The sequence below is a fragment of the Homo sapiens genome, chromosome 10, assembly GCF_000001405.40.
Source record: "Homo sapiens chromosome 10, GRCh38.p14 Primary Assembly".
NCBI lineage: Eukaryota > Metazoa > Chordata > Mammalia > Primates > Hominidae > Homo > Homo sapiens.
In genome coordinates, this window is record NC_000010.11 from 44,105,276 (window position 1) to 44,130,918 (window position 25,643).

The window sequence follows — 25,643 nt, forward strand, 5'->3', positions numbered from 1 at the left end:
AATGGATACAGGGTTTTGGTTTTGCAAGATGAAAATGATGTGGAGATTGGTTGCACAACAATGTGGTTATACTTAACACTAAGAACTGTACACTAAAAAATGGTTAAGATGATAAATGTTATCAGTATTTTACCACAATTTAAAAAAATGTATAGTCAGCTCTCCAAGCCATGCTTTTGTGGAGACCATCCAGAGGGTCTCTTTTGTCTAATTTGCACAAAGGTATCATAAAAGACAACAGAGGCCCAGGAAACATGTCTCACCATAGCATTTGGGGCACATTTTGAGAAGCAGTTTAAAGCGATAATATGGAAAAACTTGGAGCGAAATGGATGTGTGTCCCAAAGGATATTAGATCCAAATGTTCAAAAACACAAATGGTGGGTTGTCTTAAGAAAATTATAGTGCCTGAAAAGATTTGTTCCTGAGAAAAAGACCATTCAGTCCTTATTCAGCAGTGGAACAAAGAACCACATTTGAGCAGGACTAAGAAAACAGCTTGGATATGCTTGAAACACAGGACAAATAGGGGCTGGGGCTTCAGAGTTCAGAACCGTGAAGTGTGGCTGCAGTCATGTTGGAAACATTCTGAGTAAGTATTTACGGTCACTCACCGTGGCCATAAAACCTTCCGATAACTCATCCAGAAAATGATTAATTTTAAGCAATGCCATTTCCTAATGAAACTTCCAAGATAAATTGGTTGCAAAAATGTACATTCTGGTAACTAAATGAGTTGACCTGCAGAACACAAGTGTTAGATCTAAGTCAATTAAATGTTGGCAGGTGGCTAATCTGGAGTTTAGAGAAGTTGATCTTAATTCATTCTTTTGGTTTGAAATTGGATACCAGGTCCACTGGTCTTTTGGGCTTACTTCTAATTTATGACTATTAATGAGAAAATAGTTCCAGTTTATCTAAAATGGGCTTAGGTAAAATGTAAGGTGAAAGCAGTATGTATAGGACACATTCCTCTTTTATCACTATCTATAATTAATATTTCCGTAGAACACATTTTTTCAGGGACACTGGTCAGTGTTATGTATAAGCATCAGTGATTAGGGACTTGCGATTAAATGTCTCAAAGGAAAGATATTATTGAGGGTGTTGATTCTCCTTATTTTTCCATATATTTAAAACAATTCCAACCAAATGTGTCTCATGACTACTTTTTTAAAACCTAACAAAAAATAAAAACACAAATGTTACCAGTTAAGAAATTGTTATATAAGAGTAATGAGGAAGTATATTATTAACAGAGATAAAATACATTGTATCATTCAGAAATAGACACACGTGTGTTGACAGAATTTATTCTTGCAAGAAATTGGGTGAAAGGTGAAGATGGCTTGATCATTTAGAAGTCCCAATTGACTGGATAACCATTTGGAAAGAAAAATGAATGCGGACCCCTATCTCATGCCAGATTTAATTCAGAGTTAATTTTTACTTTATTTTATTTTATTATTATTATACTTTAAGTTTTAGGGTACATGTGCACAATGCGCAGGTTTGTTACATATGTATACCTGTGCCATGTTGGTGTGCTGCACCCATTAACTCATCATTTAGCATTAGGTATATCTCCTAATACTATCCCTCCCCCCTCCCCCTACCCCACAACAGTCCCTGGAGTGTGATGTTCCCGTTCCTGTGTCCATGTGTTCTCATTGTTCAATTCGCACCTACGAGTGAGAACATGCGGTGTTTGGTTTTTTGTCCTTGCAATAGTTTGCTGAGAATGATGGTTTCCAGCTTCATCCATGCCCCTACAAAGGACATGAACTCATTATTTTTTATGGCTGCATAGTATTCCATGTTGTATATGTGCCACGTTTTCTTAATCCAGTCTATCGTTGTTGGACATTTAGGTTGGTTCCAAGTCTTTGCTATTGTGAATAGTGCCACAATAAACATACGTGTGCATGTGTCTTTATAGCAGCATGATTTATAGTCCTTTGGGTATATACCCAGTAATGGGATAACTGGGTCAAATGGTATTTCTAGTTCTAGATCCCTGAGGAATTGCCACACTGACTTCCACAATGGTTGAATGAGTTTACAGTCCCACCAACAGTGTAAAAGTGTTCCTATTTCTCCACATCCTCTCCAGTACCTGTTGTTCCCTGACTTTTTAATGATTGCCATTCTAACTGGTGTGAGATGGTATCTCATTGTGGTTTTGATTTGCATTTCTCTGATGGCCAGTGATGATGAGCATTTTTCCATGTGTCTTTTGGCTGCATAAATGTCTTCTTTTGAGAAGTGTTTGTTCATATCCTTCGCCCACTTTTTGATGGGGTTGTTTGTTTTTTTCTTGTAAATTTGTTTGAGTTCATTATAGATTCTGGATATTAGCCCTTTGTCAGATGAGTAGGTTGCAAAAATTTTCTCCCATTCTGTAGGTTGCCTGTTCACCCTGACGGTAGTTTCTTTTGCTGTGCAGAAGCTCTTTAGTTTAATTAGATCCCATTTGTCAATTTTGGCTTTTGTTGCCATTGCTTTTGGTGTTTAGACATGAAGTCCTTGCCCATGCCTATGTCCTGAATGGTATTGCCTAGGTTTTCTTCTAGGGTTTTTATGGTTTTAGGTCTAACATGTAAGTCGTTAATCCATCTTGAATTAATTTTTGTATAAAGTGTAAGGAAGGGATCCAGTTTCCGCTTTCTACATATGGCTAGCCAGTTTTCCCAGCACCATTTATGAAATAGGGAATCCTTTCCCCATTGCTTGTTTTTGTCAGCTTTGTCAAAGATCAGATGGTTGTAGATATGTGGCATTATTTCTGAGGGCTCTGTTCTGTTCCATTGGTCTATATCTCTGTTTTGGTACCAGTATCATGCTGTTTTGGTTACTGTAGCCTTGTAGTATAGTTTGAAGTCAGGTAGCGTGATGTCTCCAGCTTTGTTCTTTTGGCTTAGGATTGACTTGGCGATGCAGGCTTTCTTTTTGCTTCCATATGGACTTTAAAGTAGTTTTTTCCAATTCTGTGAAGAAAGTCATTGGTAGCTTGATGAGGATGGCATTGAATCTATAAATTACCTTGGGCAGTATGGCCATTTTCATGACATTGATTCTTCCTATCCATAAGCATGGGATATTCTTCCATTTGTTTGTGTCGTCTTTTATTTCATTAAGCAGTGGTTTGTAGTTCTCCTTGAAGAGGTCCTTCACTTCCCTTGTAAGTTGGATTCCTAGGTATTTTACTCTCTTTGAAGCAATTATGAATGGGAGTTCACTCATGATTTGGCTCTCTGTTTGTCTGTTATTGGTGTATAAGAATGCTCGTGATTTTTGCACATTGATTTTGTATCCCGAGACTTTGCTGAAGTTGACTATCAGCTTAAGGAGATTTTGGACTGAGATGATGGGGTTTTCTGGATATACAATCATGTCACCTGCAAACAGGGACAATTTGACTTCCTCTTTTCCTAATTGAATAACCTATATTTCCTTCTCCTGCCTGATTGCCCTGGCCAGAACTTCCAACACTATGTTGAATAGGAGTGGTGAGAGAGGGCATCCCTGTCTTGTGCCCGTTTTCAAAGGGAATGCTTCCAGTTTTTGCCCATTCAGTATGATATTGGCTGTGGGTTTGTCATACATAGCTCTTATTATTTTGAGATATGTCCCATAAATACCTAATTTATTGAGAGTTTTTGGCATGAAGGGTTGTTGAATTTTGTCAAAGGCCTTTTCTGCATCTATTGAGATAATCTTGTGGTTTTTGTCTTTGGTTCTGTTTATATGCTGGATTACATTTATTGATTTGTGTATGTTGAACCAGCCTTGTATCGCAGGGATGAAGCCTACTTGATCATGGTGGATAAGCTTTTTGATGCGCTGCTGGATTTGGTTTGCCAGTATTTTATTGAGGATTTTTGCATCAATGTTCATCAAGGATATTGGTCTAAAATTCTCTTTTTTGGTTGTGTCTCTGCCAGGCTTTGGTATCACGATGATGCTGGCCTCATAAAATAAGTTAGGGAGGATTCCCTCTTTTTCTATTGATTGGAATAGTTTCAGAAGGAATGGTACCATCTTCTCCTTGTACCTCTGGTAGAATTCGGCTGTGAATCCATCTGGTCCTGGAATTTTTTTGGTTGGTAAGCTATTGATTATTGCCACAATTTCAGAGCCTGTTATTGGTCTATTCAGAGATTCAACTTCTTCCTGGTTTAGTCTTGGGAGGGTGTATGTGTCGAGGAACATTTCTTCTAGATTTTCTAGTTTATTTGCGTAGAGGTGTTTGTAGTATTCTCTGATGGTAGTTTGTATTTCTGTGGAATCAGTGGTGATATCCTTTTTATCCTTTTTTTATTGTGTCTATTTGATTCTTCTCTCTTTTTCTCTTTATTAGTCTTGCTAGCAGTCTATCGATTTTGTTGATCTTTTCAAAAAAACCAGCTCCTGGATTCATTAATTTTTTGAAGGGTTTTCTGTGTCTCTATTTCCTTCAGTTCTGCTCTGATTTTAGTTATTTCTTGCCTTCTGCTAGCTTTTGAATGTGTTTGCTCTTGCTTTTCTAGTTCTTTTAATTGTGACATTAGGGTGTCAATTTTGGATCTTCCTTGTTTTCTCTTGTGGGCATTTAGTGCTATAAATTTCCCTCTACACACTGCTTTGAATGTGTCCCAGAGATTCTGGTATGTTGTGTCTTTGTTCTCGTTGGTTTCAAAGAACATCTTTATTTCTGCCTTCATTTCGTTATGTACCCAGTAGTCATTCAGGAGCAGGTTGTTCAGTTTCCATGTAGTTGAGTGGTTTTGAGTGAGTTTCTTAGTCCTGAGTTCTAGTTTGATTGCACTGTAGTCTGAGAGACAGTTTGTTATCGTTTCTGTTCTTTTACATTTGCTGAGGAGTGCTTTACTTCCAACTATGTGGTCAATTTTGGAATAGGTGTGGTGTGGTGCTGAAAAAAATGTATATTCTGTTGATTTGGGGTGGAGAGTTCTGTAGATGTCTATTAGGTCCGCTTGGTGCAGAGCTGAGTTCAATTCCTGGGTATCCTTGTTAACTTTCTGTCTCGTTGATCTGTCTAATGTTGACAGTGGGGTGTTAAAGTCTCCCATTATTATTGTGTGGGAGTCTAAGTCTCTTTGTAGGTCACTCAGGACTTGCTTTATGAATCTGGTTGTTCCTGTATTGGGTGCATATATATTTAGGATAGTCACCTCTTCTTGTTGAATTGATCCCTTTACCATTATGTAATAGCCTTCTTTGTCTCTTTTGATCTTTGTTGGTTTAAAGTCTGTTTTATCAGAGACTAGGATTGCAACCACTGCATTTTTTTGCTGTCCATTTTCTTGGTAGATCTTCCTCCATCCCTTTATTTTGAGCCTATGTGCGTCTCTGCACATGAGATGGGTTTCCTGAATACAGCACACTGATGGGTCTTGACTCTTTATCCAATTTGCCAGTCTGTGTCTTTTAATTGGAGCATTTAGCCCATTTACATTTAAGATTATTATTGTTATGTGTGTGTTTGGTCCTGTCAGTATGATGTTAGTTGGTTACTTTGCTCGTTAGTTGATGTAGTTTCTTCCTGGCCTTGACAGTCTTTACATTTTGGCATGTTTTTGCAGTGGCTGGTTCCAGTTTTTCCTTTCCATGTTTAGTGCTTCCTTCAGGAGCTGTTGTACGGCAGGCCTGGTGGTGACAAAATCTCTCAGCATTTGCTTGTCTGTAAAAGATTTTATTTCTTCTTCACTTAGGAAGCTTAGTTTGGCTGGATATGAAATTCTGGGTTGAAAATTCTTTTCTTTAAGAATGTTGAATATTGGCCCCCACTCTCTTTTGGCTTGTAGAGTTTCTGACGACAGATCTGCTGTTAGTCTGATGGGCTTCCCTTTGTGAGTAACCTGACCTTTCTCTCTGGCTGCCCTTAACATTTTTTCCTTCATTTCAACTTTGGTGAATGTGACAATTATGTGTCTTGGAGTTGCTCTTCTCAAGGAGTATCTCTGTGGCTTTCTGTGTATTTCCTGAATCTGAATGTTGGCCTGCTTTGCTAGACTGGGGAAGTTCTCCCGGATAATAACCTGCAGAGTGTTTTCCAACTTGGTTCCATTCTCCCTGTCACTTTCAGGTACACCAATCAGATGTAGATTTGGTCTTCTCACATAGTCCTATATTTTTGGAGGCTTTGTTCGTTTCTTTTTATTCTTTTTTGTCTAAACTTCCCTTCTCACTTCATTTCATTCATTTCGTCTTCTATCACTGATATCCTTTCTTCCAGTTGATTGCATTGGCTCCTGAGGCTTCTGCATTCTTCACGTAGTTCTCGAGCCTTGGCTTTCAGCTCCATCAGCTCCTTTAAAGACTTCTCTGTATTGGTTATTCTAGTTATCCATTCATCTAATTTTTTTTCACAGTTTTTAACTTCTTTGCCATTGGTTTGAATTTCCTCCTGTAGCTCAGAGTAGTTTGATTGTCTGAAGCCTTCTTCTCTCAGCTCGTGAAAGTCATTCTCTGTCCAGCTTTGTTCCCTTGCTGGTGATGAGCTGCATTCCTTTGGAGGAGGAGAGGCACTCTGCTTTTTATAGTTTCCAGTTTTTCTGCTCTGTTTTTTCCCTATCTTTGTGGTTTTATCTACTTTTGGTCTTTGATGATGGTGACGTACAGAAGGGTTTTTGGTGTGGATGTCCTTTCTGTTTGTCAGTTTTCCTTCTGACAGACAGGACCCTCAGCTGCACGTCTGTTAGAGTTTGATAGAGGTCCACTCCAGACCTTTTTTGCCTGGGTATCAGCAGCTATGGCTACAGAACAGCAGTGGCTGCAGAACAGTGGATCTTGGTGAACTGCAAATGCTGCTGCCTGATTGTTCCTCTGGAACTTTTGTCTCAGAGGAGTACCCGGCCATGTGAGGTGTCAGTCTGCCCCAACTGGGGGGTGCCTCCCAGTTAGGCTTCTCGTGGGTCAAGGACCCACTTGAGGAGGCAGTCTGCCCATTCTCAGATCTCCAGCTGCATGCTGGGAGAACCACTACTCTCTTCAAAGCTGTCAGACAGGGACATTTAAGTCTGCAGAGGTTACTGCTGTCTTTTTGTTTGTCTGTGCCCTGCCCCCAGAGGTGGAGTCTACAGAGGCAGGCAAGCCTCCTTGAGCTGTGGTGGGCTCCACCCAGTTGGAACTTCCTGGCTGCTTTGTTTACCTAATCAAGCCTGGACAATGGCAGGAGGCCCTCCCCCAGCCTAGCTGCCGCCTAGCAGTTTGATCTCAGACTGCTGTGCTAGCAATCAGCGAGACTCTGTGGGTGTAGGACCCTCCTAGCCCAGTGTGGGATGTAATCTCCTGGTGTGCCATTTTTTAAGCCCATTGGAAAAGTACAGTATTAGGGTGGGGGTGACCCGACTTTCCAGGTGCCATCTGTCACCCCTTTCTTCGACTAGGAAAGGGAACTCCCTGACCCCTTGTGCTTCCCGAGTGAGACAATGCCTCGCCCTGCTTCAGCTCACACACGGTGTGCTGCACCCACTGTCCTGCACCCACTGTCTGGCACTCCCTAGTGAGATGAACCCGGTACCTCAGATGGAAATGCACAAATCACCCGTCTTCTGCGTTGCTCAAACTGGGAGCTGTAGACTGGAGCTTTTCCTATTCGGCCATCTTGGCTCCACCTCTAATGCAGAGTTAATTAAAATTCTAAATACAAAGCCTGAAAACAGTATGTGCTAAAACAACATAAATGAATCTTTATCTAATCATGAGGGAGTGGCATTTCCAAACATGGCCCCAGAAGCAGAACCCTTGAAGGGCGGATTTTGAAAGCTTTTCACAGTAAAATATACAGATCAGTACACATTCTTCTCAGATACCTGAAGAATAGTCATAAAACAGACTGTGATTAGGACACAAAGGACATCTCCATAAATCCCCAAGGCAGAGAACTTTGATCCATATCCCTTCATTGCAACACAATTATATATATTTAGAAAAGCATTTTAAAAAAAAATCTACTCCCATCTCTCATTCTCTTCCAAAGCAAACAAAAAACCCCACATAGACATTTAAAATTAAAACAACTTTATATCACATTCATGGTTTAAATCAAAAGTAAAAATTGAAATTGAGAATCAGCAATTATAGCACTAAACGGCTAAACTTGAGGGCTGGAGCCAGAGCATCTGTGGAGATATTTTACAACTTTCAAAGTTTTAGTAAGACATAATGAAAACTGAAAGCCTGAATACATTTTTTTTGTTTGTTTTTACCTCTCATTTCATCAGTGAAATCCCAAAGAGAAGAAATCTGCCAGAGAAGAGGATGGAATGGACTTGGGTAGGTCAGGCCATAAGCTGATGAGGTTTCAGCAAATTTCCCAGTTATGGAAAGGAGCAAGGAACATCCAAGGATATGAGAAAGAGGGGAGCCACAAACTGGAATCTGAACATAAGAGCAGCTGCAGCAGAGGACGGCACCCCTCATCCTAACATCTCCCTGGGAGCCCCAGGCTGTCAGCACCCTGACCATTTACAGAGACCAGATCAGTAACCTGCCTCCTACCCCCCCCAGCAAACAGAATTTTAATTTATCCTTTTGTTCCAATCACAGAGTGAACAGCTCTCTAGCATTTTTCCACTAGTCGACAAAACCAAAAGCCAAATCATGGGAACTTTTTTTGAAGAAAATATTAACAAGAAGCCTGAACCATTAGCATATGGGTGTTGGGATCACAAATCAAGGCCATCTTCACTTAGGGGCCTCTCTGCACATACCTCACCTCCTATCCTCAGGAGTCATCTCAGGGAATGAAGGAGGGGGAAGCTATCTAAAAGGTTTGCCCTCCACTTTCCCCCATAAGGACTGTTAAAATGACAAGATTAGAATAAACTTTCAATTAGTTTGAATGCTTGAAAACATAGACTATCATTTTCCCCACTGGTCAGCAGTTGAGGGTCATGGAGTCCAGTTCAGCTAACAACAAAATCAAGGACTTACAGCGTGGGTTTGAATGTGGGAGCATGCTATAACTCAACCCATACAAATGTCTTCCTTTCCCTCTATTGCCCACAGGCTCCTGAGCACCCATTTACCTAGGCTGGTCCCCCTACAAATTTATGGTTTCCAATATCTAGAGAAGACTCAAAATCTGTCTGGCTTATCTTTTTTTTTCTTCTCTCCAGCTATATTAGAAGGTGTCCCTCTTCTTCCAGTGAACCCATGATCACTGTCCTTGAATCCATGGTCACCATTCCTGAACCTATGGTCACTACCTTTGAACCCATGGTCATTGCCATGGACCCATGTTCACTGTCTTTGAACCCATGGTCACTGTCCTTGAACTCATGGTCACTACTCTTGAATCTATGGTCACTGGCTTTGAAGCCATGATCACCATACTTGAACTCATGGTTACCACCCTTGAACTCATAATCACTATTCTTGAGCCCACGGTCATTAGTCTAGAACTACAGTCACTGCCCTTGAACTCATGGTCTCTGCCCTTTAACCCATGATCATCACCCTCCCTGTCCTACAATAACATCCCCTCTAGTATTCTCAGCCTTCAAAATCATGACATATGGGGATAACAGTTTCTGCCCAGTCTCCTTTCAAAGAGTCTTTTTCCACATCCAGACCTGTGCAATGTTTACAGGGGTCAGGAGCTGCTCTGAGATTCTGCTTCCCCCCGCCATATGTCTGAGCACTAGACTGGGAAAGACAGGTAGGGACAGCAAGTAGGGAAGGGCCAACAGCCAGCCTTGTCTCCTGCAAGTGGAGACAGTTCACATGCTATGCAAGTGGAGCCCTGAGACTGTCCCCAAGCCTGCTTCCTTTTAAACAGATTGCTTTTGAATAACATTAGGGAATAGGAAAATTGGAGGATATGTTTCCCGTTTGGCCTGAAAGTCCAAGTATAGACCAGAGCCCCAGAAATCTGTTATCAGAGATGCACACAAGCTGCAACCTGCATGGCACCCCTGCCCTCTTGTATTTCCTTCGTAGGTCAGAAGATTGGCCAGGATGCTGCTTGATTCTCTCTCTGGTGCAATATATGATCAAGGTTTGGGAGGAGCCCAGTGTGTGGTCACCCCGTATATGAGAACAGACTGACTGCTGATGAAATACCTGCCAGGGAAGGGAATCTGGAAATTCATTCATTTCATTTGTTCCTTCATCTCTCAATTTCTTTATTCTAGATCAGTTATCTCTTAATAAGCACATAGAATAAATAGCTTTTAATTTTCTTTGTTAGAGAGACAGAAGTTGATTTATGGCAAGGGAGCGTGATTGAGAGCCAAAGAGTGGAGGAAAAGTTTTTCGAGGAGGCACTTTCCAGGAGGAAAGCCCTGTCTGCTGTGCAGGTGAGAGGTGTCAAGTGGAGGCAGCATACGAAACCACAGCAGGGACAGGAGGTGCCCACATCTCCAGGAAACTCCTTGTTAGCATCACCACACATCCTGTAAGAAGAAGAGATCTCACTGTCCTCGGCTTCTAGCTCCTTTCTTTTCCAGAATAAGGTGATTGTTCTGGGATAAGCAAACTTTGTCTGCAGGAAATTGTTAAAGAGCTACCGTTGTGTGGACTCATTTCTCTCATGCTTTGAATTTGAAAGAGTAAATCAATTAGAAGCAAGAGCTCGGGCTGCCTGATGGAAATTATCCCTGAGAGGACTGAACAGATCACCAAAACCAGTACTCAGGGCTATCTGTAGGGCAATGAATGAATGCATCAGACCCACACCAGTGTGGAAGCAGTTCTGGGACCATATGAAATGTGGCTAGTAAGCCTGGGAAAATTGGATTTTTAATTTACTTTTATTTAAATTACTTTGCATTTAAGTTCAGACGGCTGCAGGTAGCTCATAGCCACCAAATTGACCAGGGCAGATCTAAAGGACTTCATGAATATTAAAATGATTTGAAGCTTATTATAATAGAAGAGAGTAAAATTTTTTTAAAAGTGTGTATTTGTTGATATACAACCCTATAATCTCATTTGTAGGCAAAAAAACAAAGAAAATAAAAGCACAACAAACAAATCAGACTTATTGACAAGTCAAGTGCTATTGGTGTTATCTCATTACCACTAGAAGCTGCTTCACCCTAGGGTCACGGGCTCTAGCTGAAGTTTTAAAATGCTATGGGAGAGCCAAAGTGTGCCCATGGGTTGGAAGAGACAGGGCAGAGTACAGATATCAGGAGAAAAGTTCAGGGGACAAAGAAACTTTGTGGCACTAACAGAAAAAAGAACAGTCAGGGATTTTGAAGTGAGATGTGTTCCCTTTTCTTCATATCCAATGTCCTTTACTAATCGTTAAGGAGGTCAAGGACCAGGGACACAGCAAAACTAGGGAGTGACAACCCTCTGAGTATTGAACATCTGCTGAGAAAGGGGCGGCTCCAGGCTATTCTCCAGTGCAAGAGGACAAAGAGAGAAGAGACGAGGTCATCGGTGCCCTGGGCCATAGACACGGGAGACTCACGAGGGTGATGGGAAGGCAAGGGAGGAGGCAGAGGGGCGTTTGGAGTGGCCTGCCTCCAACAACAGAGGCTTCCATTTGTTTCATTCCATTGATGCTTAGTAAGCATATTGGCCTTTATATAGTTCTTGGTGCTAGGGAGGCAGCAACAACAAAAGACACCTGATATCTGCCCTCAAGGAACTAAAAGTCTACCAGGAAAGCCAGAAGTTAAATACACCGTCATGTAAAATTAATTAAGCATACTCTCAGAGGCTATGAAAGCATATGGTTGGCAAAGCTGACCCAATCATAATGGGCAGAACCTAGTGCAGGCCTCCCATAAGAAAGCATTTCAGCAAATACCCAAAATGTCAGTAGGTGTTCCCTAGAAGAAAGAAGAGCAGACTCAGAAGGGAAATCCTGTATAGGAAGCCTTGGAGATCTGAGAGACCCCTGGGGAGAGAGGCAGGGGCTAGCATAGAACCTGCAGGCAGAGGGGTCACACAGGGCTGGAGCAGCCTGAAGGCCTGTGGAGCCACATCCATTTCTTCAGCTATCAGCTCACCAAAAAAAGGGACAATGGAAAGGTCAGCCAGGATTCAGGCAAAGCACATTGTAGGATAGCGGTGGTGCCATTCCATCTGTCCTGGCCAACTTTGTTTGACACCAAAAGCAAACTAATGCCACAGAGCCCGCTTTATCTGGAGTCTTATGGAAGAGCCCACTTTCTCTGGGGTCCTATGGAAGAGCCCACTTTATCTGGGGTCATATGGAAGAGCTCTCTTTATCTGAGGTCCTATGGGAAAACTCACTTTATCTGGGGTCCTATGGCAGAGTCCACTTTATCAGGAGTCCTATGGGGTTGCACACCCCATGGTTCCCATCCAAGGTCATTGCACACCCAATGGCAGTGGGGCTGTTTCAGGCCATATGGGTAACAAAGGAACGTGAATTTGGGGCGAAGACTTTGCTACAAGTAATCCACAGAGACCCTGGTCTCCACATTTGAAATGCCTCCAACTGAACAGGGGAAGCATTCTACTCTTGCCTTTACCCAAGATGGGGGAGCCAAGGACATTTCTCTTAGTGTTACCAGAAACTCCAGCTTCCTGCACATCCAACTTAGTTATTCATTGTTGGGGCATAATACTGGAGGCTTCCATACTTTGGGCTCCACATCCACTGTGATTTTGTGAATAAATCAGAAACGTTACAATCTGCTTGGATCTGCACAGCTGGTGAGGAGAAAGAGCCTCGTATGCATCTTAGCCTGGGTTAAGCCTGGGTTTGTTGCTGGGTGCTCAGTTCAATTTACATTTCAGATAAACAAGAAACCACTCTGTAGCTTAAGTCTGTCCTAGGATGTGAAAATATTGCCCTAGACAGTTATACTAGCAAAATGATTTGTGATTTTTATGAAATGCAAATTTAACTGGACATTTTTATTTTATCTGGCAACTCTGTGTGTGGGTGATGGGTGACATCTTACTGTAGTGCATGGGGGCTTCTGGGAAAGATTTGGAAAAGGAACTGGTACAGCTGAGGGTAATCCCTGAGAGAAGACTGTGGGATTCTGTAGTTTTGTGGCTCTGAAATAAAGCTCCAAAAAATGGCAGCTTCGTGGAAGCATGGGATAGGGGGCCAGCCAGCCTAACCGTGAACCTTAGTTCTGTCGCTGTGTGATCTTGTGCAACTACTTTGATTTCTCTGAGACTCAGTCTTCTTTCCAATGAGAGCTAGTAATATTTGTTTATGATAGTTTAAATAAAGATTAAAGATAAAGTATGCAAAGGATATGGAACCTTGTAAATATGTAAATTGAAAAAATTATAATAAAAATGGTCAGAATTCTCCTGCGCAAAAAGACTAACATGATTGAAGAAGTAGGTTTATGAGGAAACTAAAGGCCAGGTGAAGTCAGCCATGCAGCTGTGGGGAGAGCTGGAGAGGGTGTTCTAGGTGCTTCCTAACCTGGCCCAGTGGACTTGGAAGTTGCCTCTAGCCTGTTGCTGTGGATTCTCACTGTCAGGCTTACCTGTGTCTCTCAGGACATTGTGCAATTTAACCTTGCACGACACAGGTTTGAACTGTGCAAGTTCACTTACATGAGGACTTTTTTTCAATAAATACATTGGAAAACTTGGAGAATTGCTACAGTTTTTTAAAAAATGCAGCTGAATTCCATAGCTTAAAAATATTGACGAAACAAGAAAAAGGTAGGTATGTCACGAATGCACAAAATATATGTAGATACTAGTCAATTTTATCACTTACTACCATTAATTATGGAAATCTTATAAAAAGTTAAAATTTGTCAAAACTCATGCACACAAATGCTTACAGATCATACATGGTGCCATTCTTAGTCCAGAGAAATGTAAACAAATGTAAAGATGCATTACTAAATCATAACTGCATAAAATTAACTGTAGGACACACTATACCACCATAATAACTTCATAGCCATCTTCCGTTGCTATTGCAGTGAGTTCAAGGGTTGCCAGTGTCTGCTTATAATGCCCTGTGACACTAATCATCTCAGCATGGGCAGGACATCTCTCCAGTAAACTTCATATTGCAGAAAAAAGTGATTTCTAGATGTTCTCATGTATTTTTCATCATGTTTAGTGCAATACTGGAAACCAATAACACCATGGGACCCACGTGAAGTGCCACTAGTGATGCTAGAAGTGCTCCCAAGAAGCAGAAAAAAATCTTGACAGTACAAGAAAAAGGCGAATTGCTTGATATATACCATAGACTGAGGTCTGAAGCTGTGGTTGCTCTTCGCTTCAGGCAGATAATTCATCTTGTAAACAGATGACATAAACTTATGGTATTGATAAATACAGTACACTACTGTAAATGTATTTTTTCTTCCTTATGATTTTCTTAATGAACTTTTCTTTTCTCTACCTTTTTTATTGAAGAATACAGTCTATAATACATATAAAATATGTGTTAATTGACTATATCATCAGCAAGGCTTCAAGTCAATGCCAGATTTTTAGTAGTTAAGTTTTGGGGGAGTCAAAAGTTATAACATGGATTTTCAACTGCATGATGAGTTGGTGCCCCTCAGTTCCGTGTTGTTCTAGGTTCAAATGTAAATACTTCTTGAGTAAAATAAAAAAAATTTGAGTGAGATGTACTAAAAGGAATTGAACTGGCTTGGGTTTAAAAGAGTTTTAAAGAGTTAAAGCCATCAATCTATTATTTGCTTTGATTTAACACACAACTGGAACCAAAATTACTATGTGCTTCTGGTGATGATGCACACAGATGATCTGGATTAGTATAACTAGCATGAGGTTTACCAAAGATATCACAGAAATGAATTTTCTGTAGTGCCTTCTTGGCGTGCACTATTGTACCAGGAGGGGCACAAAAAAGTAGAGAGAGGAAACACTTTCTCACAGTCAGGCACTGTGAGTGGTCCTTCTGCATCTTTGGGTCTTTTACAAACACAAATGTCCACAAACTCTTTGACAGTCTTCAAAAAGTAAACCCTAATTATCTTCTTGTTAAATGAAAGCAGGACTCAGTGACTCATTTTTAACAAATAAATGTGGGCAGAGGTGATGGTGTGTGACTTTTAAAACTAGGTCATACAAGCCACTGCATCTTCTTTTCTCTCTTACTCTCTCATCACTGATCCAGGGGGAGGTGGGTGCCATGTTGTGAGGACACTCAAGCAGCCCTACATAGACACCCCCAGGATAAGAAACCGAGGCCTCCGGCCAACAGCCATAGAGTGCACCATCTAGTCCCAGTCAAGCCTTCAGATGACTGCAGCCCTGGGCCAACACCTTGACTGCAGCTTCATAAAAGACCCTGATAGTGGCACCACCCAGTTAAGCTGTTTCTGGATTCCTTACTCTCAGATCTATGGAAGATAGCAAATGCTTGCTGTTTTAAGCCATTTTGTGATAATTTGTTGTGCAGCAATGAAAAATTAATACAAACAACAATAGCTAACATGCATTGAGTGATAATATGTGCCAAGAACTCTTCTAAACATTTCATACATATTAACTATTATTATTTTTTATTTACAGATGAGGAGACTGAAGTACAGGAGACGTTACCTAACTTATCCAAGGTAAGTACATACTAACTGATTCATACATTGCTAGACTCTCTTTCTGCATGCACTCTCTCTCATGCATATGTGTTTTACTGCAGTACTATCTGTTTCCCCAAATAGATTAGAAGTTCCATAATGTAGGGGAAGATATTCTGCCCATATCATTGGAACCCAGCAGAATGCTTAAAAGACAGCATGCCTAAAATAAATATTTAGATAAATGGAATAGATGGATGATAAAGAAGTAAATTAAAAATTATTACACACCAACTCATTGCCCATGAAGTTTGAGTTTTTGGGTCTAACACAGACCCATATATGGGAACCTCACGACTGGATGATAATAGGGTCCTTTCTTTCAGAATCTGAAAAATTAGACTTCATATTGTTGCCAATTTTAGATGCTCAAATCTAGCCCAGAAAGCCAATGTTTTACAAATTTGTATTTAATTCCACGGAGAATTGGAAATAACCTAAATACCCAACACTGACGTTTAATGAATTATGATACTTCAGTACAATATAATTTTATGCAACTACTAAATTATACAACTATGTTGAATCAAGAAAAATGTTTCAAACAATATTTAACTAAAAGTAGCAGAAACAAAGTAAAATTTAGGCAAATTAATATTATATGTACTATTTAGTTACTAAAACTAATAAAGCATATTTATTTGTACTTCATGGAGCAATCTCAAAGAGATATTTTTTAGTTCTAATGTTAGTAACTAAGGGCAATTTTGTGCAAAATAACATTTTTTTTAAATTTTTGAGATAAAGTTTCTCTCTTTTTGCCCAGGTTGGAGTGCAATGGCACAATTTCTGCTCATTGCAACCTCTGCCTCCCGGGTTCAGGTGATTCTCCTGCCTCAGCCTCCTGAGTAGCTGGGGTTATAGGTGCCTGCCACCATGCCCATCTAATTTTGTATTTTTAGTAGAGATGGGCTTTCAACATGTTGGCAAGGCTGATCTCGAACTCCTGACCTCAGGTGATCTGCCTGCCTTAGCCTCCCAAAGTGCTGGGATTATAGGCGTAAGCCACTGCACCCAGCCCAAAATAACATTTTTTATTAAAAAACAGAAAAAAATATTTCCAAGAATGACTCCTACCTTAAATGATAATAAGCACTGAAGAGACATTTTATGAGAAGCTTTGGTCTCATGTATAAAACTTGAAGCAAGCCTGGCATGTCAGTGAACATTGTATGTCATGCAAATAGCATGACATATCAGTGAGCATATGACCCAGTACAAAGCAAACAACTTAATATTAGCATGTCCAAACCAGAGGACCCAGCATGAAGATGCCTGGGACACAGCAGAGAGGAACTTTGAATACAGTCTGGTCAAACTCGTCACTTTATGGATGTGGAAACCGATGCACAGAGAAGCAAAGGGTTGTACTTCCTCCCAAACTGCTTGAGGTGCAAGAGCTGAGACAGATACTCAGGTGTCCAGAGTCTTAATTGAATGACAGAGAATTCAGCACATTCTATTTCATATATGTTGTATCCCATGATGGTCATATACTCTTATTACACTTGTTTTCCAGAGGGTGAAATTGAGGTGGATAGAGTGACTTAATGTGCTGGTCCAGAGTATGGCATCTCATGTGTGACTACCTAGGCTCAAACCTTTCTCATACATTTAACAAGTGTGTGACTTGGAAAAGCTGCTTAGTCTAAGACTCAGAGTCATCTATAAAGTGGGGTCAAAAGTAACCCTAACTTATAGAATCTGTTTTGAGGATCAAATGACATAGCTTACCTAGAGCTCCTGGCAGAGCACCTGCACCTGACAATAATTTAATCAACATTAACTGTTATTTGTTGTTTATGTATCAATCACAGAGACCCATAGTTTGGGATTCCAAACTGATTCTACAACTTCAAGCCTGACATTCTTTTGGAAATAACTCAGCTGTCATCTAGTGCTGACACTGCTCTAAATAAGGGAAGTGACCTTGAGTGGCTCGTTTCCTTTCTCTGAGAGTCTCCCTCACCTTTGGGATGAAATGTGGGTTCTTGGGGCTGGGCTTGATGACCTCTGAGATTGCTTCTAGCTCTAGGATGCAATTGATTCATTTGTTCATTCATTCACCTGTGCATTCCTTCCTGAGTGTCACCATGTAAAATGTGTGGCCTCGGGAACATATGGGTGCAGAGATGAACCTGCCCCAAAGGCAGCTTAGATAAGATGCACAATACAATGCATAGTCTGGAAGAAAATGAAATGTGCTATTAGAGGAGAGAGAGAGAGATGCAGACCTTTGGGGCTTCAGAAGGGGGTCATCTACTTTGAGTGTGTGGAGGTAGGGGAGATTAAGTGGAAAAGGGAGCTTTCAGTGAAGATCAGTGGATGTGGTCATGTGGAATTTCAGACAGAAGAATGTATGCATTCAAAGAAATGGAAACGGCCCCATGGGCCATGCAGCAGAGGAGCCAGCGGTCCAGATGAGCAGGAGGAACACTGGAGAAAAAGCCTGGAGAGGGAGGCAGGCCCACACCTTGAGGACTTCAAATGCAGGGGAGGTTGAATGACGTGAATTAGCACAGAGAAGGGATGGGCAGTCTGGAACAGGGAGGCCTGGGCTGGGGTAGATCTATGAGAACAAGGATGAAGAAGATAAGGAAAGAAGGAACTAGGAGGACTCTGCCCTTCTAACTGTGGGACCTGGAGACTGGGGATGTGACTAACGTTGTTCAATAGCCCCGAGGAGGAGCAGGCTGGAGAGGAGAAACTGACGGAGCCCTGCTGGGAAACTGCTAAGTGTGGGTGTGCATGGGGACATCAGGCCAGTCAGTGGCCAGGAGGAAAACAGACCCCAGGAGCCAAATCTCTGCAGGGAGGCCAGGGCTAACTGCACATCTGCTCAGTAATTTCATCCTCAAATTTTAGATTTTAAATGAGCACAATTTTATATTTACAAAAATATTGTGATGATGGTACTGAGAGTTCCCATATACTTCCTACCCAGTTTTTCCTACTGTTAACATCCTATATTAATATGACATGTTTGAACAATTAATAAATTGTGAACAAAATTGATTCATTATTGTAAACTAAAGTCCATGCTTTGTTCGTATTTCCTTTGTTTTTATCTAATGTCCTTTATGTGTTCAGGATCCCACTGCGGATGAATACTGTGTTACATTTAGTCACAGGATCTCCTTAGGCTCTCCTTGACTGTGATGGCTTCTCAGGCTTTCCTTGTTTTTGATGATCTTGACAATATTGAGGAGTACTAGTCAGGTACGTTGTAGGCTAATCCTCTATGGGAGTCTGTCTGAAGTTTCTCCCATGATTAGACTGATGAGGTGATGGGCTTTGGGGAGAAGCCCAACAGGGGTAAGGACTATTTTAATGACATTGTGTCAGGGATCCATGCTATCAACATGACTTGTCACTGTTGATGTTGACCTTGAGCACCTGGTTGAGGTGATACTTCGCAGGTTTCTGTGACGTAAATTTACTCATTTTTCTCTTTTGTACTGTAGTTTTTTGGAAGAAAGTCACTGCCACACTTCCACACTACCACAGCCCACACTTAAGGAGTGGGAGTTATGCTCCACCTCTTTGAGAGCTATCTACCGAAATTATTTGAAATTCTTCTGTACAGTAGATTTGCTTCTTTTCCCCCATTTATTTACTTATTCAGTCATGTATTTATATCAATATGCACTCATGTATAATTATTGTGCACTTTGGGTTGTAATTCAATGCGACTCTATTTCATTGCTCCAGCTGTGGCCGTGCAGAGCTCTTTTGTTTGGCTCTTGTGCCCTTTGCTGCACTCCCTTGCAGTAGTTTTGTTTGAGCACCTTCTTACTTTCTGGCACTACAAGATGCTCTGGGCTCCTCTTAGGTAATTGCTCTTCTGCCTTAGAATCAACCATTTTCCTAAGAAATCATGAATCCTTTTACTGGAGAATGGTTTTAGAAACCAAGATATGGGTATGAGCTGTGCTCGTTGAAATTGAGATGTCCTTGCTTCTAGTGCTCTTAGCTGACACAGCAAGGAAATATAAATATGTATATAATAACATGTTTATACACACATATATATTTATAAATATTTTCATGTCTTGTTTTGAGACAGGGTCTCACTCTGTTACTCAGGCTGAAGTGTAATGGTGCAATCATAGCTCACTGCAGTCTCAACCTCCTGGGATCAAGCAATCCTCCCACCTCAGCCTCCTGAGTAGCTGAGACTGCAAGCACTCCACCAAGATTGGTTAATTTTTTATTTTTAGTAGAGACAAGTTTGTGCTATGTTGTCCAGATTGGTCTTAAACTTCTGGCCTCAAGCGATCCTTCTGCCTTGGCCTCCCAAAGTGTTGGGATTATAGGTGTGAGCCACCATGCTTGACCTCATATGTCTGTATTTTTGTATCTGCATCTTTATTAAGTTAAACATTAGTTCATATTGATTTTTCCAACCATAATATACTACCACGCATGGGTCATTTGCACTCTTCCTTTGCTTATCTGTAAGGTCCACTTCAACAGTGAGATGCACAGCTCCTCTTATCTGTATCCAGTAAAATTATCCTTCGAAATTAAGGAGAAATAAAAACTTTCTCAAACAAAAAGTAAAGCAACTCATTACTGGCAAACCTGTCCTCCAACAAATTCCTCAGGTGGAAGGAAAATTATATAGGTGAGAAACTCAAATCTACATAAAGAAAGGAAGAGAGTTGGAGAAGAAATAAATGAAGGTAAAAGAAAATCTTTTATTTTTCTTATTTTAATTGGCCTAAAAGATATCTGTTTAAAGTGAAAATAGTAACAATTATTGGATGACTGTGGCATACAAACAGTGAAATAAATGAGTGACAGTTGTCATCTCACATCAAGGCCAGGATCTCCTTGACTGTGCCTGGAACGCCCTTGTTCTCCACAGAGAGCTGCCTCTACTATCATCCTCACAGCCTCTGATACGCTCTGAGAGAACAAGGTGCAGGGCCTGTTCCCTGCTGGAGCTCTTCCCTGTATGCACATGTTTTTTCTGGGGACCATTTGCCTAATTCATCTCAGAAATGAGTGCTGGAACCCTCCACTGACTGCCATTGAGTGATTTGGGGTACAGCCCTCCAAGCTCTCATATATGGCAGTTGCTGAAGGTGTGTAGATTCCCTGTTTAACTCAGTTAAAGGGGTGGGGATGACTGGCCCCAAAGATGTTCTCCTGGAGGAGATGGGGAAGGAGGGCCTGGCCTGCCACCCCGTACCATCCACCAGCATAATGCTTTCTTAATAGATGGAGGAGGGGCCACAGGGAACTCCAAAGATCTATGAGCAATAACAACACTTACCACAAATTCCACACTCATGTGGGTTTAGCCATCTGGGGCTATTACCTCTTACTCAACACTGAAGGCCAGAGTGAAATGTCCCTGGAACCTGAAAACACATGTTTCTTCTGAGACTCAGAAGAAATAAATGGAAGAAATGTTTTCTCATTTTTAGCAATTGTTACAAGAATTCTTTATTCAGAAGGGACTTGGCTTTTTTGGGGAAATGGTTTAATAAGCCTATTGAGGGGATAGAAATGAGCTTCCAGGACCTGGGTTTTGGGCCCATGCCTAGTTTTCATGAGGAAGAAAAAAGCTTCTCTGCCTAGTACATGGGAGGGGAGGAATGTGATGTTCCTACAGAGACAAGTCCAGGAGGGAAGTGGAGAGAGAAGAATCAAACCGCGTGGGAAGGCATGATTAAGAACAACAGGGCTCTGGAGTGACAGAAAATCGAAAAAGGCCAAAGAGCAATGTCTGATTTTCCTTTTTTTTATCACAATGGGGTTGGATGACGTAACACTTCTCTGCCATTGCCTTGACAAAATTGTTCCTGCTTTTGGACATGTGGATTGCGGCTGGGGAATTATGAAGCCAAAAGGGAACTCCAGGCAGCAGCAGGCTGTGTCTGTGTGGTTGATGAGATGAGCTCTCTGCAGGAGTCACTAGGTAGAGCAGGTGGGTTTTTCTTTTGTTCCTCTCTCAAGGCAGGATGAGTGAAGCCTAGAAGTCACCTAAGTCTTGACTGAAAAGGAGCTGTGACAATCATCAACGTATCTGAGTTAACGAAAGCGTGAAAACCTCACAGTACCAGCATGCCCCTGTGTTTAGAAGAGCTGGCTAAACTTTCTCTGGCTTCAAGAAAAAGCACAATTGACTAATTTGTCCATTCTGGAAGTCTGTATTCATGGTCCTGTAAATAGAATAGACCCATCCAGAAAAGCCCTTGGAGAGAAGAGAGCCAGAGAAAGCCAATATTTCAGAATGAATGGTTCTGTTTGAAGAGCTTTGTATGGCAAATGAGGGTTAAAAATTTTTCCCCACCTTTCCTTTACAGCAGTGATTTTTGAGGTGTGGATTTTTAACAGCTGCAGCAGCAGCATCACCTGGAACCTGCTGGCATTGCAAATTATTGGGCTCCATTCCAGACCCACTGAGTCAGAAAGCCTGGGTATGGGGTCCAGAGATCTGTTATAGAACAAGTTCTTCCAGTGCAAGCTAAAGTTTGAGAACAATTGCTCTAAAGCAGAGGATCTTAAATTGAATTCAGGGATTTGTGAAACCAATGGGAAAAAAATATATACCGTTATTTTTACCACCATTTAACTGAAAGTTAGCATTTCCTTCTGTTGTGAACACAGTCCGAAAAGCACAGTAGGATTGACAGCACTGGGGCTTTTTCGCCAACAGAAACCTTTTTATAGCAGCTTTATTCAGATATAATTTGCATATAATACAATTCGTCCATTTAAAATGTATAATTCAATAGTTTTTAATACAATTACAAAATTATGCACTAAGCACCTGTAATGGTTAATTTTGTGTGTCAACTTGACTAAGCCAAGGAATGCCCAGATAGCTGGTAAAAACCTTATTTCTGGGTGTGTGTGGGGGTGTTTCCAGAAGAAATTAGACTTTGAATTGGTGGACAAAGTGAAGAAGACTCACTGTCACCATAATAGGTAGTCATCATTTGAATCTGTTGGGGCTTAAATAGAACAAAAACAGAGAGAAAGAGAAAGATCAAATTTTCTTCGTGAGCTGAGACATCCATCTTCTTCTGCCCTCAAGTATCTAAGCTCTGGCTCTGGGGCCTTCAGACTCCTGGACTTACAACAGTGGCCTTCCATCCCCCAGCTCCCCACCCTGCTTCTCAAGCCTTCAAATTAGTATGGAATTAAACGTCAGCTTTTCTGAGTCTCCAGGTTATACTGCAGATTCTGAGACTTCTCAGCCTCCATAATCTTATGAGCCAATTCCCACAATAAATATCTCTATATCTCTGTCTCTCTTTATATATATATAAATATTTATTATATTCAGATATATATAGGAAAAAACATATACCATTAATTTTACTAACATTTTACTGAAAGTTAGCATTTTCTTCTGTTGTGAACATAGCCCAGAAAGCACAGTAAAATTGACAACACTGGGGCATCAATCAATCAGTCAATCAACCAATCATCAATACACCAATCATCAATCATCTAGCTATCAATCTCTATCTACCTGTCTATCTATCTATCTATCTATCCATCTATCTATCTATCTATCATCTATCCATCTATCTCTATCATCTATATCTCCTATTGGTTCTGTTTCTCTGTAGAATGCTAACACAGGACCACAATCAAACTTGAACATTGTCCTCACCACAAAAGGAAACTTCATGTCTATTGCCATGCTCCATCATCCCCCTCCCCTACTTTAAGCAGCCACTTATCTACTTTCCATCTTTTTAGATTTGAGGATTCTGAACATGTCATATAAATAAATAGAATTATATAATACATGATATTTTGTAATTGACTTTTCCACTTAGCATAATGCTTTAAAGTTCATCCATGTTGTTGCATGTATCAGTATGTCATTTCTTTTTTTTTGTCAAGTAATATTTCACTGTATGGATATCTAACATTTTATGTATCTATTCATTAATTGATGGACATTTGGATTGTTTCTACTTTTTGGCTATTGTGAATAAAGTTGCCATTAAAAATGTCTGTATAATACAAGTTTTTGTGTAATCATATGTTTTTATTTCTCTTCATGTTTAACGATTTGAGGAGCTGCCAGACTGTTTTGAAAAGTGGCTGCACTGTATTACATTTCCACCAGCAATGTATGAAGGCTCAAAATTTTCCGCATCTTCATCAACACATTGTTTTCCGACTTTCTAAAATTACAACCATCCTAATATGTGGAGTAGTATCTCATTGTGGTTTTGATTTGCATTTCCTTGATCACTAATGATGTTGAGCATACTGTCATAAGTTTATTGCCTATTTATATATCTTCTTTAAAGAAATTTATATTAAGATTCTTTGACCACGTTTAATTGGGCTTTTTTTATTACTGAGTTGTAAGAGTTCTTTGTTTATTCCAGGTACAAGTAACCTATTATATACATAATTTGCAAATATTTTCTGTCATTCTGTGGATTGCATTTTTACTTTTTAATATTACCCTTTGAAGCACGAAAGTTTCTAAGTTTGTTAGAGTTCAATTTACTTATTTTTAGTTTGTTGCTTGTGGTTTGGTATCTTACATAAGAAATCATTTCCTAATCCAAGGTGACAAAAATTGATGTCTATGCTTTCTTCTAACATTTTATAGAATTAAGCCTTACGTTTAGGTCTTTCATTCATTTTGAGTTAAATTTTGAATATGGTGTGAGATAGGGATCCAACTTTATTCTTTTTCATGTGGATATCTAGTTGTCCCAACACCATTTGAAGAGACGATTCTTTTCACAATAAATTGTCTTAGCATCTTTGATGAAAATCAGTTGTACATAAAGGTGAGAGTTTATTTCTGGTCTCTCAGTTCTGTTCTAGTGATCTTTATGTCTATCTGTATGTTAGTACCACACTGTCTTTATTATTATAGCTTTGTAATAAGTTGTGAAGTTGGGAAGTGCGAGTCCTCCAACATTTTTCTCCTTTGTAAAAACTATTTTGGCTATCCTGCATTCCAGGTATTTTGATATGGATTTTATTAGAAGCTTGTCAAGTTCTGCAAAATAGGCAACTGGAATTTTAATGGGGATTGCATTGAATCTGTAGATTGTTTTTGGTAGTATCTTAACAAAACTTAACAATATTAAATCTTGCAATCCATAAACATAGGATGTCTTCCCATTTATTTAGAGATTTGGAAATTTTTTTCAATAATGCTTGTTGTTTTCAGAGTATAAGTTTGCACTTCTTTTGTTTATTTGATTCCTGTATATTCCTGTAAGGTCTATACATCCCACTTGAAGTTGTACAACATTGATTAAAAATAGATTTTTAAACATTAAATATGTCTACTGTAATCCTTAGAGCAACCACAAAAACAAACAAACAGAGAAACAAAACTGAAACAAAACAAAGAGGTATGGTCAAAATACAACAGATAAATAAAAATGGAATATTTTAAAAATGTTCAACTATCCCAAAAGAAAGCTGGAAAGAGGAACAAAGAAATGGAAAGCAGAGGTAATACACAGAAATAAAATATAAAATGGTAAACCTAAATCCAAACATATCAATAATTACATCAAATGTAAAGTGTCTAAGCATCCAATTAAGACACATAGATTTTCAGAATGAATAAACAAACATATGACCCAATTATATGCTGTCTATAATGATAATGATACAAGCAGATTAAAAGTAAAAGAATGGAAAAATATAGACCATGCAAGCTTTAATCTAATGCTGGAATGATTATATTAATATCAAAATAGGCTTCAGAGCAAAGAAAATTACCAGGGACAAAGAGGGATATTCCATAACCATAAGAGTCAATTTACCAAGAAGACATAACATTCAAGGTGTATAAAAACTAAAAACAGAGCTTAAAAAAATAAAGCAAAAACTGTCAGAAATAAAGTATTAATAAACAAACTTGCAAGCATAGTTTTGAGACTTCAACTCTCTCAGTAATGGATAGAACTAATGGAAAGGGAATCGGCAAGGATAGAGAAGATCTGAACTGAACCTTTAACCAAATGAATTTAATGGACATTTATAAAATTCTCCACCTAAACAAAGCGGGATGTACATTTCAGGGGAAGGCAGGAAATATTTTGAACTGAGGAAAAATGAAAATACAGCATATTATATCTACAGAACGTGGGTAGAGTG

At 40.0% G+C, this 25,643-nt stretch overlaps 1 long non-coding RNA gene across 1 annotated transcript, besides 1 other annotated feature; it reads left to right on the forward strand.

Annotated features, from left to right (window-relative positions):
- The first annotated feature begins 309 nt into the window (after positions 1–309).
- LOC124902543 (uncharacterized) lies at positions 310–25,178 on the forward strand. Its single transcript, XR_007062368.1, has 3 exons — positions 310–592; positions 15,466–15,509; positions 18,621–25,178. It is a non-coding gene; the product is annotated as an uncharacterized LOC124902543 (long non-coding RNA).
- Positions 6,869–7,434: an enhancer, noted in NCBI's record as "OCT4-NANOG-H3K27ac hESC enhancer chr10:44607592-44608157 (GRCh37/hg19 assembly coordinates)". NCBI's record gives its function as "activates a minimal SCP1, AML or CMV promoter by ChIP-STARR-seq in primed H9 embryonic stem cells {active_cell/tissue: H9 hESC(primed)}" and the evidence as "EXISTENCE:reporter gene assay evidence [ECO:0000049][PMID:30033119]".
- Positions 25,179–25,643: the final 465 nt, after the last annotated feature.